The sequence below is a fragment of the Homo sapiens genome, chromosome 5, assembly GCF_000001405.40.
Source record: "Homo sapiens chromosome 5, GRCh38.p14 Primary Assembly".
NCBI lineage: Eukaryota > Metazoa > Chordata > Mammalia > Primates > Hominidae > Homo > Homo sapiens.
This window is the reverse complement of record NC_000005.10, coordinates 177751121-177764039: the sequence shown is the minus strand read 5'-3', so window position 1 is coordinate 177764039 and position 12919 is coordinate 177751121. Positions and strand designations below refer to the sequence as shown.

Here is a 12919-nt window from a genome sequence, read left to right as displayed (position 1 = left end):
ACCCAGGCCAGGTGTTCACAGCTGTCCTCACTGGCCCAGCCCAGGTTTCCATAGCCACCCTCACTGGGCCCAGCTCAGGGCTTCACAGCTGTTTACTCTGGGCCGAGTCCAAACACTCCAAGCTATCCTTAGAGGGCCCAGCCAAGGCGTTCACAGCCATCCTCATTGGTAGCTAGCCCAGGTGTTAGTCCTTGTCCTCAGTGGGCCAGACCAGTGTTCACAGACATCCTTATTGGGCCAGCCCAGGAGTTCCATGCTGACCTCGCTGGGCCCTGCCTAGCACTTCATAGCTGTCCTCACTGGGCCCAGGCCAGGTGTTTGCAGCCATCCCCATCAAGGTCAGCCCAGGGGTTCACAGCCTTCCTTGTTTGTATGAACTCAGTTTATTATAGCAACAGTTTTTGATGGCTGTCAATATCAAGGCAGGCCCAGGAGTTCACGCTACCCCTCAGTAACATCAAGCCCAGGGTTAAGAGCCATTTTCACTGGCCCCAGGCCACCTGTTCATAGCTGTCTTCATTGTTTCCAGCCCAGGGCTTCCCAGCTGTCTTCATCCAGGCCTGCGCCGGTGTTCACAGTGGTCCTCATCTAAGCCAGCCAAGAAGATCTCTGTCATCCACGTGACAGCCAGCCCAGATGTCCCTAGCCGTCCTCATCAAGGCCAGCCAGTTTGCTTACACGTGTGCTAATTGGAGCCAGCCACCCTCATAGAGGCCATCCCAGGTACCGACAGCCATCCACACTGGGCCCAGCCCAGGTGTCCACACCTGTCCCCATTGAGCCTAGCCCTGGTGTTCATGGCTTTTGTCACAGGACTTCTCCCAGTTGTTTCCAGCAGTTTCCATGGTCCCAGGCCAGGGTTTCACAGACATCCTCAATGGGGACAGCCCATCTGTTCACCGTTGTCTTAATTAGGCCCAGTGCAGATGTTCACACGTGTCTTCCTTTGGCTCAGCCAAAATGAACAGAACTCCTGAGCGCATACCAGCGGTTTCTAGCTGTCCACATTGGGGCCAGCCCAGGTGTTCGTAGCCCTACGTTCTGGGCCCATCCCAGTTATTCCAAGCTGTCCTCTTGGGCCTAGCCCAGGTGTCCACAGCCATCCTCCTTGGTCCCGGCACAGGTGTTCACAGCTATCCTCCTTGGCCCCAGGCCACATGTTCACATGCCATCTCACTGGGCCCAGAGCAGCTATGGAAATTTTTGCTCTTGAAGTTGAGGTCTGTTTTAATTGAGGTTTCTGAGGTTGTATAGCAGTGTGCAGATGCAGGGGACTTGTGCCCCAGCACTGGGCTGCCTGGCTGTGCCCTGGGCTTGTGTGACCTTCAGTCTGTGCTGGGCTGGAATCTGCTCTAGAGGTTTCCAGATTTCTTTTTACCCTCCACCCCAACAGACCCTCAGGCCTTTTTGTGCTCACTTCCCAAGCTCCCCTTGGACTCTGCTCCAGAGTCCATGTCAGCCCCGCCTGGGACCTTGACTGCCACATCACCCACATTGCTCCTCTCAGCCTGTGATGACGATATATCCAGACCCCTTTCTGCCCCAGAGCTGCAGTGGGTCTCAGAGGAGCCCAGCTTTACCCCACAGTCTACCCTGGGAAGGTGGAGACACATCTGATACTGTCACTGCAGGGGGTGCCCCATATGGCAGCTGCTCCCCCAGGGCTGCCCTGACCCGTCCCCAGCTGTAAGTCCCATGTCACTGGTGTGCACAGGCACTCACCTCTTTAACTTTGTCACGTCCACATTCTTAAGTGTTTGGTGGCACCAGGACCTGGCAGGTCTGAGGGAAGGACCCCTCGAAGCTCAGTTAGTTCTCTATGTCCAGCAAGGATGAGTGTGAGGCCCCGAGCATCGAGCATCGGGAAAACCACGTCAGGTGTTCCTCCCAAGTAGGTGCCCATTGCAGTGCCTGCCCCTGCCAGAGGGCACTGCCTGAGCTAAATCCCCCGTCTCACCTTCCCAGACCTTCACCTGGTTTCAGGGCTCCTCAGCCACCCACATATCGCTGAAATGTCAAAGAGCTTGTGAGGAAGCTTCTGGGGCACCTGCCTTCTAGAGGAGGCTGAGGGCAGCTGCGGATGGTTATTTATGGGGATGTTTTTGGCCTGGGCCACAAGCAGGTGGGTAAGTGGCACAGGGATGGCAGCTTAAGGTGCCCTGGCTTCTCTGCGTGGCTGTCACTGAGCAGAGGAGTCCGGGCCTGCCAGCAGGTTCCATCCTAGCTTATTCTCTGTGTGTCCTCAGTTGGGGTACCTACCCGGTCTCTGCCTCAGTTTCCTCCTCTGTGAGACAGTGATCCTAACAGGCCCTACCTCTGACAGTGGTTTTGATGAAGTACGCGATGTGGGTGAAGCACCTGGAGCTGGCCCACTCACAAAGAACGCGCCACAAACTCTCAAGGTTAATGTTGAAAAGGGGCTGGGGTGGGGCAAAAGTGGGCAGGCCATTTCCGCTCCAGGTGCCTGGGCTGACAGATTGGATTAAATTAGCATGTGCATTGCTGAGTGCACAGGGGACAGTTGCCCAGGCCAGAGGCATCAGGGTCAAAGCTGGTGATGCCTTGGCCTCATCACCCCAGGCTAGGGCCAGTGCATGATGTAGTCGGCCAGGGGAGGGCTCTGGAGCCCTGCAGCCGAGGGGGCCTGGTGACCCTCACAAGGTCATTCACAGGCCACTAGGATGGCCTGCCCTTTTCCGGCCAGGCCTCACTCTAGGAAAAAAAAAAATTGATTGTAACCTCGTTGGCAGTTTCCTTTGCATAGAAGTGGGAATTCGCTGCTAGCGAGGCTGGTGATGAACTCCGCAAAAGCTGGGAAATCTCGTTTGAGCAGGAGCGCCCATTATCTTGGCCAAGCTGCTGCAGCTGGGCTGAGTGGGTGTGGAAGTGTGGGTGGTAGTCATGTAAGTTCTCCAGCCAAGCCCAAGTTCCTCTGCAGACCTGTGCATGATGGCATATCCAGATGATTCCAACCTCCTGCTGTGGATTCAGTCCCGCTTCATAAGACTTCTCTGCAGTCCCCAGACATCAACAAGGACCAATAAGCTATCTTTTCTGTGTCTTACCTGAATTCTTGTCCCTGTGAAGCATTAGCAAATTGAAATGTTTGTTTTCTACCAGCATTTGGGGGTATTAGTTTTTTTTATTTAAAAATAATCACAGTAAAGACATCAGGAATAACACACTTGTAGGACATTCACGAGGTACAGAAGAATGCACACCGAAATCTGGACTTGTCTTTTCCTCTTCTGTAGCCTGCCAGCTTCTGCCTCTGGAAGTAACAACTGTTAAGTTTCTGCACATCTTTCCAGATTTATTAATTGAACAATCATATAGCACTGACACCGTGACAAAGCTTTGTCAAAGGACTTTGGCTACCAGTGTAAAAGACTCATTTATTTTCATTTACTGTGAACACTTAGGTGGCACCAGGAAGGAAAGCCTTATGCTCATTCCTTTTTATTCTTCCTAACATATTCTGTTTTTAAAAATGTCTTTTCCAGGGGCTGGGCACAGTGGCTCACGCCTGTAATACCAACACTTTGGGAGGCCGAGGCGGGTGGATCACTTGGTCAAGAGATCGACACCATCCTGGATAACACGGTGAAACCCTGTCTCTACTAAAAATACAAAAAATTAGCTGGGCACAGTGGCGGGCGCCTGTAGTCCCAGCTACTCGGGAGGCTGAGGCAGGAGAATGGCGTGAACCTGGGAGGCAGAGGTTGCAGTGAGCCGAGATCGTGCCACTGCACTCCAGCCTGGGCGACAGAGCAAGACTCCATCTCAAAAAAAAAAAAAAAAAAAGGTCTTTCCCAATTTGGCATTAAGAGATATAAATCTGTGGTCTGGTATTTTTTAATTGAGTTTTCTCACTCTCTCTCATATATGTGTATATATATATATGTGCACACCTGCCCAATTTTCTATTCAGTTGTTGACAATTAAAATTCTCCATTTACACAGGTAATATGTGTTCCTTCCCAAATTCTGTTAACCACCCCTTCAATTAGATAATTCCTGAAAAAAAATGCAACATCTATGTTAATGCAGTTTTTTTTGTTTTTTTTTATTTTTTACTTTTTGTTTATTATACTATAAGTTTTAGGGTACATGTGCACAACGTGCAGGTTTGTTACATATGTATACATGTGCCATGTTGGTGTGCTGCACCCATTAACTTGTCATTTAACATTAAGTATATCTCCTAATGCTATCCCTCCCCCCCACAACAGGCCCCGGTGTGTGATGCTCCCCTTCCTGTGTGCATGTGTTCTCATTGTTCAATTACCACCTATGAGTGAGAACATGTGGTATTTGGTTTTTTGTCCTTGCTATAGTTTGCTGAGAATGATGGTTTCCAGCTTCATCCATGTCCCTACAAAGGACATGAACTCATCATTTTTTATGGCTGCATAGTATTCCATGGTGTATATGTGCCACATTTTCTTAATCCAGTCTATCATTGTTGGACATTTGGGTTGGTTCCAAGTCTTTGCTATTGTGAATAGTGCCACAATAAACATACGTGTGCATGTCTTTATAGCAGCATGATTTATAATCCTCTGGGTATATACCCAGTAATAGGATGGCTGGGTCGAATGGTATTTCTAGTTCTAGATCCCTGAGGAATTGCCACTCTCTCTTCCACAATGGTTGAACTAGTTTACAGTCCCACCAACAGTGTAAGTGTTCCTATTTCTCCACATCCTCTCCAGCACCTGTCGTTTCCTGACTTTTTAAAGATCACCATTCTAACTGGTGTGAGATGGTATGTCATTGTGGTTTTGATTTGCATTTCTCTGATGGCCAGTGATGATGAGCATTTTTTCATGTGTCTGTTGGCTGCATAAATGTCTTCTTTTGAGAAGTGTCTCTTCGTATCCTTTGCCCACTTCTTAATGGGGTTGTTTTTTTCTTGTAAATTTGAGTTCTTTGTAGATTCTGGATATTAGCCCTTTATCAGGTGAGTAGATTGCAAAAATTTTTCTCCCATTCTGTAGGTTCCCTGTTCACTCTGATGGTAGTTTCTTTTCTGTGCAGAAGCTCTTTAGTTTAATTAGATCCCATTTGTTAATTTTGGCTTTCATTGTCATTGCTTTTGGTGTTTTAGACATGAAGTCCTTGCCCATGCCTATGTTCTGAATGGTATTGCCTAGGTTTTCTTCTAGGGTTTTTATGGTTTAAGTCTAACATTTAAGTCTTTAATCCATCTTGAATTAATTTTTGTAAAAGGTGTAAGGAAGGGATCTAGTTTCAGCTTTCTACATATGGCTAGCCAGTTTTCCCAGCACCATTTATTATATAGGGAATCCTTTCCCCATTTCTTGTTTTTGTCAGGTTTGTCAAAGATCAGATAGTTGTAGATATGTGGCATTATTTCTGAGGGCTCTGTTCTGTTCCATTGGTCTATATCTCTGTTTTGGAACCAGTACCATGCTGTTTTGGTTACTGTAGCCTTGTAGTATAGTTTGAAGTCAGGTAGCATGATGCCTCCAGCTTTGTTCTTTTGGCTTAGGATTGACTTGGCGATGCGGGCTCTTTTTTGGTTCCATATGAACTTTAAAGTAGTTTTTTCCAATTCAGTGAAGAAAGTCATTGGTAGATTGACGGGGATGGCATTGAATCTATAAATTACCTTGGGCAGTATGGCCATTTTCACAATATTGATTCTTTCTACCCATGAGCATGGAATGTTCTTCCATTTCTTTGTATCCTCTTTTATTTCATTGAGCAGTGGTTTGTAGTTCTCCTTGAAGAGACCCTTCACATCCCTTGGAAGTTGGATTCCTAGGTATTTTATTCCCTTTGAAGCAATTGTGAATGGGAGTTCACTCATGATTTGGCTCTCTGTTTGTCTGTTATTGGTGTATAAGAATGCTTGTGATTTTTGTACATTGATTTCGTATCCTGAGACTTTGCTGAAGTTGCTTATCAGCTTAAGGAGATTTTGGGCTGAGACGATGGGGTTTTCTAGATATACAATCATGTCATTTGCAAACAGGGACAATTTGACTTCCTCTTTTCCTAATTGAATACCCTTTATTTCCTTCTGCCTGATTGCCCTGGCCAGAACTTCCAACACTATGTTGAAGAGGAGTGGTGAGAGAGGGCATCCCTGTCTTGTGCCAGTTTTCAAAGGGAATGCTTCCAGTTTTTGCCCATTCAGTATGATATTGGCTGTGGGTTTGTCATACATAGCTCTTATTATTTTGAGATACGTCCCATCAATAACTAATTTATTGAGAGTTTTTAGCATGAAGGGCTGTTGAATTTTGCCAAAGGCCTTTTCTGCATCTATTGAGATAATCATGTGGTTTTTGTCTTTGGTTCTGTTTATATGCTGGATTACGTTTATTGATTTGCGTATGTTGAACCAGCCTTGCATCCCAGGGATGAAGCCCACTTGATCGTGTTGGATAAGCTTTTTGATGTGCTGCTGGATTCGGTTTGCCAGTATTTTATTGAGGATTTTTGCATCGATGTTCATCAGGGATATGGGTCTAAAAGTCTCTTTTTTTGTTGTGTCTCTGCCAGGCTTTGGTATCAGGATGATGCTGGCCTCATAAAATGAGTTAGAGAGGATTCTCTCTTTTTCTATTGATTGGAATAGTTTCAGAAGGAATGGTACCAGCTCCTCCTTGTACCTCTGGTAGAATTCGGCTGTGAATCCATCTGGTCCTGGACTTTTTTTGGTTGGTAAGCTATTAATTATTGCCTCAATTTCAGAGCCTGTTGGTCTGTTCAGATATTCAACTTCCTCCTGGTTTAGTCTTGTGAGATTGTATGTGTCAAGGACTTTATCCATTTCTAGATTTTCTAGTTTATTTGTGTAGCGGTGTTTATAGTATTCTCTGATGGTAGTTTGTATTTCTGTGGGATCGGTGGTGATCTCCCCTTTATCATTTTTTATTGCCTCTGTTTGATTCTTCTCTCTTTTCTTGTTAGTCTTGCTAGCAGTCTATCAATTTTGTTGATCTTTTCAAAAAACCAGCTCCTGGATTCATTGATTTTTTGAAGGGCTTTTTGTGTCTCTGTTTCCTTCAGTTCTGCTCTGATCTTAGTTATTTCTTGCTTCTGCTAGCTTTTGAATATGTTTGCTCTTGCTTCTGTAGTTCTTTTAATTGTGATGTTAGGGTGTTAATTTTAGATCTTTCCTGCTTTCTCTTGTGGGCATTTAGTGCTATAAATTTCCCTCTAACACACTGCTTTAAATGTGTCCCAGAGATTCTGGTATGTTGTGTCTTTGTTCTCGTTGGTTTCAAAGAAGATCTTTATTTCTGCCTTCATTTTGTTATGTAGCCAGTAGTCATTCAGGAGCAGGTTGTTCAGTTTCCATGTAGTTGAGTGGTTTTGAGTGAGTTTCTTAATCTTGAGTTCTAGTTTGATTGCACTGTGGTCTGAGAGACAGTTTGTTATAACTTCTGTTCTTTTACATTTGCTGAGGAGTGCTTTACTTCCAACTATGTGGTCAATTTTGGAATAAGTGTGATGTGGTGCTGAGAAGAACGTATATTCTGTTGATTTGGGGTGGAGAGTTCTGTAGATGTCTATTAGGTCTGCTTGGTGCAGAGCTGAGTTCAATTCCTGGATATCCTTGTTAACTTTCTGTCTCGTGGATCTGTCTAATGTTGACAGTGGGGTGTTACAGTCTCCCATTATTATTGTGTGGGAGTCTAAGTCTCTTTGTAGGTCTCTAAGGACTTGCTTTATGAATCTGGGGGCTCCTGTATTGGGTGCATATATATTTAGGTTAGTTAGCTGTTCTTGTTGAATTGATCCCTTTACCATTATGTAATGGCCTTCTTTGTCTATTTTGATCTTTGTTGGTTTAAAGTCTGTTTTATCAGAGATTAGGATTGCAACCCCTGCCTTTTTTTGTTTTCCATTTGCTTGGTAGATCTTCCTCCATCCCTTTATTCTGAGCCTGTGTGTGTCTCTGCACGTGAGATGGGTTTCCTGAATATAGCACACTGATGGATCTTGACTCTTTATCCAATTTGCCAGTCTGTGTCTTTTAATTGGAGCATTTAGCCCATTTACATTTAAGGTTAATATTGTTATGTGTGAATTTGATCCTGTCATTATGATGTTAGCTGGTTATTTTGCTCGTTAGTTGACGCAGTTTCTTCCTAGCCTTGATGGTCTTTACAATTTGGCATGGTTTTACAGTGGCTGGTACCGGTTGTTCCTTTCCATATTTAGTGCTTCCTTTAGGAGCTCTTGTAGGGCAGGCCTGGTGGTGACAAAATCTCTCAGCATTTGCTTGTCTGTAAAGGATTTTATTTCTCCTTCACTTATGAAGCTTAGTTTGGCTGGATATGAAATTCTGGGTTGAAAATTCTTTTCTTTAAGAATGTTGAATATTGGCCCCCACTCTCTTCTGGCTTGTGGAGTTTATGCCAAGAGATCAGCTGTTAGTCTGATGGGCTTCCCTTTGTGGGTAACCCGACCTTTGTCTCTGGCTGCCCTTAACATTTTTTCCTTCATTTCAGCTTTGGTGAATCTGACAATTATGTGTCTTGGAGTTCCTCTTCTCGAGGAGTATGTTTGTGGCACTCTCTGTATTTCCTGAATTTGAATGTTGGCCTGCCTTGCTCGATTGGGGAAGTTCTCCTGGATAATATCCTGCAGAGTGTTTTCCAACTTGGTTCCATTCTCCCCATCACTTTCAGGTATACCAATCAGACATAGATTTGGTCTTTTCACATAGTCCCATATTTCTTGGAGGCTTTGTTTGTTTCTTTTTATTCTTTTTTCTCTAAACTTCTCTTCTCGCTTCATTTCATTCATTTGATTTTCCATCACTGATACCCTTTCTTCTAGTTGATCGAATCGACTACTGAGGCTTGTGCATTTGTCACATAGTTCTCATGCCATGGTTTTCAGCTCCATCAGGTCATTTAAGGACTTCTCTGCATTGGTTATTCTAGTTAGCCATTCATTTAATCTTTTTTCAAGGTTTTTAACTTCTTTGCCATTGGTTTGAACTTCCTCCTTTAGCTCAGAGAAGTTTGATCATCTGAATCCTTCTTCTCTACTCGTCAAAGTCATCCTCCATCCAGCTTTGTCCCGTTACTGGTGAGGAGCTGCGTTCCTTTGGAGGAGGAGAGGCACTCTGATTTTTAGAATTTTGAGTTTTTCTGCTCTGTTTTTCCCCATCTTTGTGGTTTTATCTGCCCTTGGTCTTTGATGATGGTGACATACAGATGGGGTTTTGGTGTGGATGTCCTTTCTCTGTTTGTTAGTTATCCTTCTAACAGCCAGGACCCTCAGCTGAAGGTCTGTTGGAGTTTGCTGGAGGTCCACTCCGGACCTTGTTTGCCTGGGTGTCAGCAGTGGAGGCTGCAGAACAGCGAATATTGAGGAACAGCAAATGATGCTGCCTGATTGTTCCTCTGGAAGTTTTGTGTCAGAGGAGTAGCCGGCCATGTGAGGTGTCAGTCTGCCCCTACTGGGTGGTGCCTCCCAGTTAGGCTACTTGGGGGTCAGGGACCCACTTGAGGAGGCAGTCTGTCAGTTCTCAGATCTCAAACTGTGTGCCGGGAGAACCACTACTCTCTTCAAAGCTGTCAGACAGGGACATTTAAGTCTGCAGAGGTTTCTGCTGCCTTTTGTTTGGCTATGCCCTGCCCCCAGAGGTGGAGTCTACAGAGGCAGGCAGGCCTCCTTGAGCTGCGGTGGGCTCCACCCAGTTAGAGCTTCCCAGCCACTTTGTTTACCTACTCAAGCCTGGGCAATGGCGGGCGCCCCTACCCCAGCCTCGCTTCAGCCTTGCAGTTTGATCTCAGACTGCTGTGCTAGCAATGAGCGAGGCTCCATGGGCATAGGACCCTCCGAGCCAGGTGCAGGATATAATCTCCTGGTGTGCCGTTGGCTAAGACCATTGGAAAAGCGCAGTATTAGGGTGGGAGTGACCTGATTTTCCAGGTGCAGCCTGTCATCCCTTTCCTTGGCTAGGGGAGGGAATTCCCTGACCCTTTGCACTTCCTGGGTGAGGCAATGCCTTGCCCTGCTTCGGCTCACACTTGGTGCACTGCACCCACTGTCCTGCACCCACTGTCCGACAATCCCCAATGAGGTGAGCCTGATACCTCAGTTGGAAATGCAGAAATCCTTCGTATTCTGCATCACTCACGCTGGGAGCTGCAGACTGGAGCTGTTTCTATTCGGCCATCTTGGCTCCACCCCCTATTAATGCAGTTTTTGTGCCTCATTAATGACCCATTTGATTTAATAGTTCTTAAAACTTGTGATGAATCAACAGTGATGGAAAGTTGTACTGAATCATATCTTTTTTTATTACTATGAATTATATTGTTAGAGATTGGCTTTAAAATTGAAGTTACACTAATGCATTTTAAATGTAATTTGGAGCTAGTTTAGAATTGTTGAAGCTAGGACTCTCTGGTGACTCAGGAATAGTAGAAATTGGTGGGGAAGGCATTTCACATCAAGCCTGGAATCTCCCTTTATTCTCAATGTATTAGCTTTTCTTATTTTTACCCTGAAATTTTCACTATCAAATATATTTGAGAGGCAAATCTTTTTCCTCCTTTAATGTTTGTTTCATACACATAGAATAATACTGTGTGTCTGAGATTCAGTTTTTGAAATGAAACATGGAGTGTAAGTGACCCCTTGTCGATGTGACAATGGACTGGTCTAGATCACAGCAGTTGGGCCCCATATTGTGACATGGATGCTTGCGAAAATTCTACTGTGACCTGTTGCTGAGGTGATCTGATGATATAGGTCTTGCCTTTCATTTTAACTGCCATTCTGGCAACTGAACGTTGGCAGTAAACGCAGCTTAGTTGTCTCAGAGGACTCACAATGGGATGTGTTTATAGTTGTTGCCTTGAAGGTATGTATGTTCATTTCCATCTTCTGACTGCAATTTCTTCAGATGAGCCAGTTTTCCTGTATGTTAAATGTCATTCTGATTTTTTTAATTTCCCCAGCTCCTATTTGTCTACAGATTTATAAATATGTTTCAGAGTTTTATTACTCAATTTGTGTTTTTTTATTCTTCTATCAAGATTTTTGCCTCAAATACTTTTCTCTAGAAAATACACTGTTTCCAATGCCAATTTTTTTTTTTTTTTTTGGAAGAGTGAAGAGTCTTGCTCTGTTGCCTAGGCTAGAATGCAGTGGTGTGATAATGACTCACAGCAACCTCCACCTCCCAGGTTTAAGCAATTCTCCTGCCTCAGCCTCCTGAGTAGCTGGGATTACAGGCATCCGCCACCACGCCTGGCTAATTTTCGTATGTTTAGTAGAGACAGGGTTTTACCATGTTGGCAAGGGAGGTCTTGAACTCCTGACCTCCTGATCCACCTTCCTTGGCCTCCCAAAGTGATGGGATTACAGGCATGAGCCACAGTGCCTGGACTTTTCTTTTTTTTTTTTTTTTTTTTTTTTGGCAGAGTCTCATTCTGTCACCCAGGCTGGAGTGCAGTGGCACAATCTCAGCTCTTTGCAACCTCTGCATCCCAGGTTCAAGCGATTCTCCTGCCTCAGCCTCCCAAGTAGCTGGGACTACGGGTGCCTGCCACCATGCCTGGCTAATTTTTGTATTTTTAGTAGAGACAGGGTTTCACCATATTGACCAGGCTGGTCTTGAACTCCTGACCTTGTGATCTGCCCACCTTGGCCTCCCAAAGTGCTGGGATACAGGTGTGAGCCACCACACCCGGCCTCCCCCGCCACACACACTCTTTCATAGACTAGATACAGAATAAACTGCTGAAAAATCCACTGGGGGGCCACATTTTCAGTTAATTCCCATTAATTGCTTCTTCAGAATGGTTCAGTTGAAGGGAAGTTTATTCTTGGCACAGCCATCAAGTGGTAGTTAGTTTGGAATGTCCTAAGTTCCGAACTACCTTGGGGGCCAAGCAGAACTTGGTCCCTTGCTGTGGTCAGTTGGTCATGGAGGGGTGCTCACTGCCAGACAGCTGACAATACAGGGCAATGGGTAGGATGACCAGACATTTGAATTTGTTCCTCAGAGAGGCTTCGTTTGCGGGAAAGTGCCATATTTTAGCCCAGGAGTTAAAACCTAGAGACAGGAGTTTTGTTTTGTTAAATGATTTGGCTTTTTTCTGGACTCACCACCTCTTCCAAATACATCAACCTTCCTGAAGAGCCCTTGGTGCAGGAGGATTGAGAAAGGGCGTGGAAAGAGCTCCAGGTTCAGGGTCCAGGCCATGATTTAGAGGCCTCAGGTATTCAGGGATCTCTGTCCCCAGAAAACCAACCAAATTCTTGTCGCAGATCTATCATTCGTCAGTGTTGTGACCCTAGGCAGGTCGCTTCAAATCTCTTCATTTCACTTCCCTGAACCGTCAACTCTGAGTGGCAGCCCCTGCTCTGCCCATCTCTCTGGGCCGATGTGGGCATCACAGGAAATTCAAACAAAAACTTTTCACGAGTTCTAAAGCATGAGACCCATGTCAAGAATGAAAAGAATTTTAGCCTCCACTGCCCTGGAGTCCCCCAAGTGGCTTCTCTATTAACCACTACCAAGGGCCTGGCTTATTCTTCCAGACATGAAATAATTGAACACTTTGTGGCACTTAGGAAGCACCCGTTTTAAGGCTTTAGGTCCATTTAACTCTTCTTACCCTTTTAACATAACGTAGGCCATTAGGAGGCACAGAGGGATCTATAGAACTTCCTCAGGTTCTAGCAGCTTCTCAGAAGTCCCTGAGCTCAGATCCTATGCTCCGGACCCTATGCTCTTGGTCACTCCAATCTACTACCTTTCTGTAATGTCTCATCTCAATACAGGCATTTGCCTGCACACTTATACGTGCAACCCACAGTGCAAGTCTTTCTGAAGCCCAACTCAGATTCAGGGGGCTTTGCTCTGCAGATGATGAACAATGGAATCAAACATTTAAGCTGTGAATAAATA

At 45.3% G+C, this 12919-nt stretch overlaps 1 protein-coding gene across 26 annotated transcripts in view, besides 1 other annotated feature; it reads left to right on the top strand.

Annotated features, from left to right (window-relative positions):
• FAM153A (family with sequence similarity 153 member A) overlaps positions 1-12919 on the top strand; it is an 89179-nt gene that overhangs the window by 19386 nt on the left and 56874 nt on the right. For 16 of the 26 annotated variants that reach the window (XM_017009359.2, XM_017009358.2, XM_017009362.2 and 13 more), the window contains exon 1: positions 10717-10864. The exons of 7 other annotated variants lie outside the window; for them this stretch is intronic. In XM_017009359.2, coding sequence (XP_016864848.1) covers positions 10834-10864 — 31 coding nt within the window. In that variant the 5' untranslated portion in view covers positions 10717-10833. Of the gene's footprint in view, positions 1-529; positions 724-3562; positions 3604-10716; positions 10865-12919 lie in introns of those variants that run through there. 3 more of the 26 variants (XM_011534521.4, NM_001413826.1, XM_006714849.4) reach the window with 2 other exon arrangements.
• Positions 2845-3045: a silencer, noted in NCBI's record as "peak5597 fragment used in MPRA reporter construct". NCBI's record gives its function as "represses an SCP1 promoter by STARR-seq MPRAs in K562 erythroleukemia cells {active_cell/tissue: K562}" and the evidence as "EXISTENCE:reporter gene assay evidence [ECO:0000049][PMID:32103011]".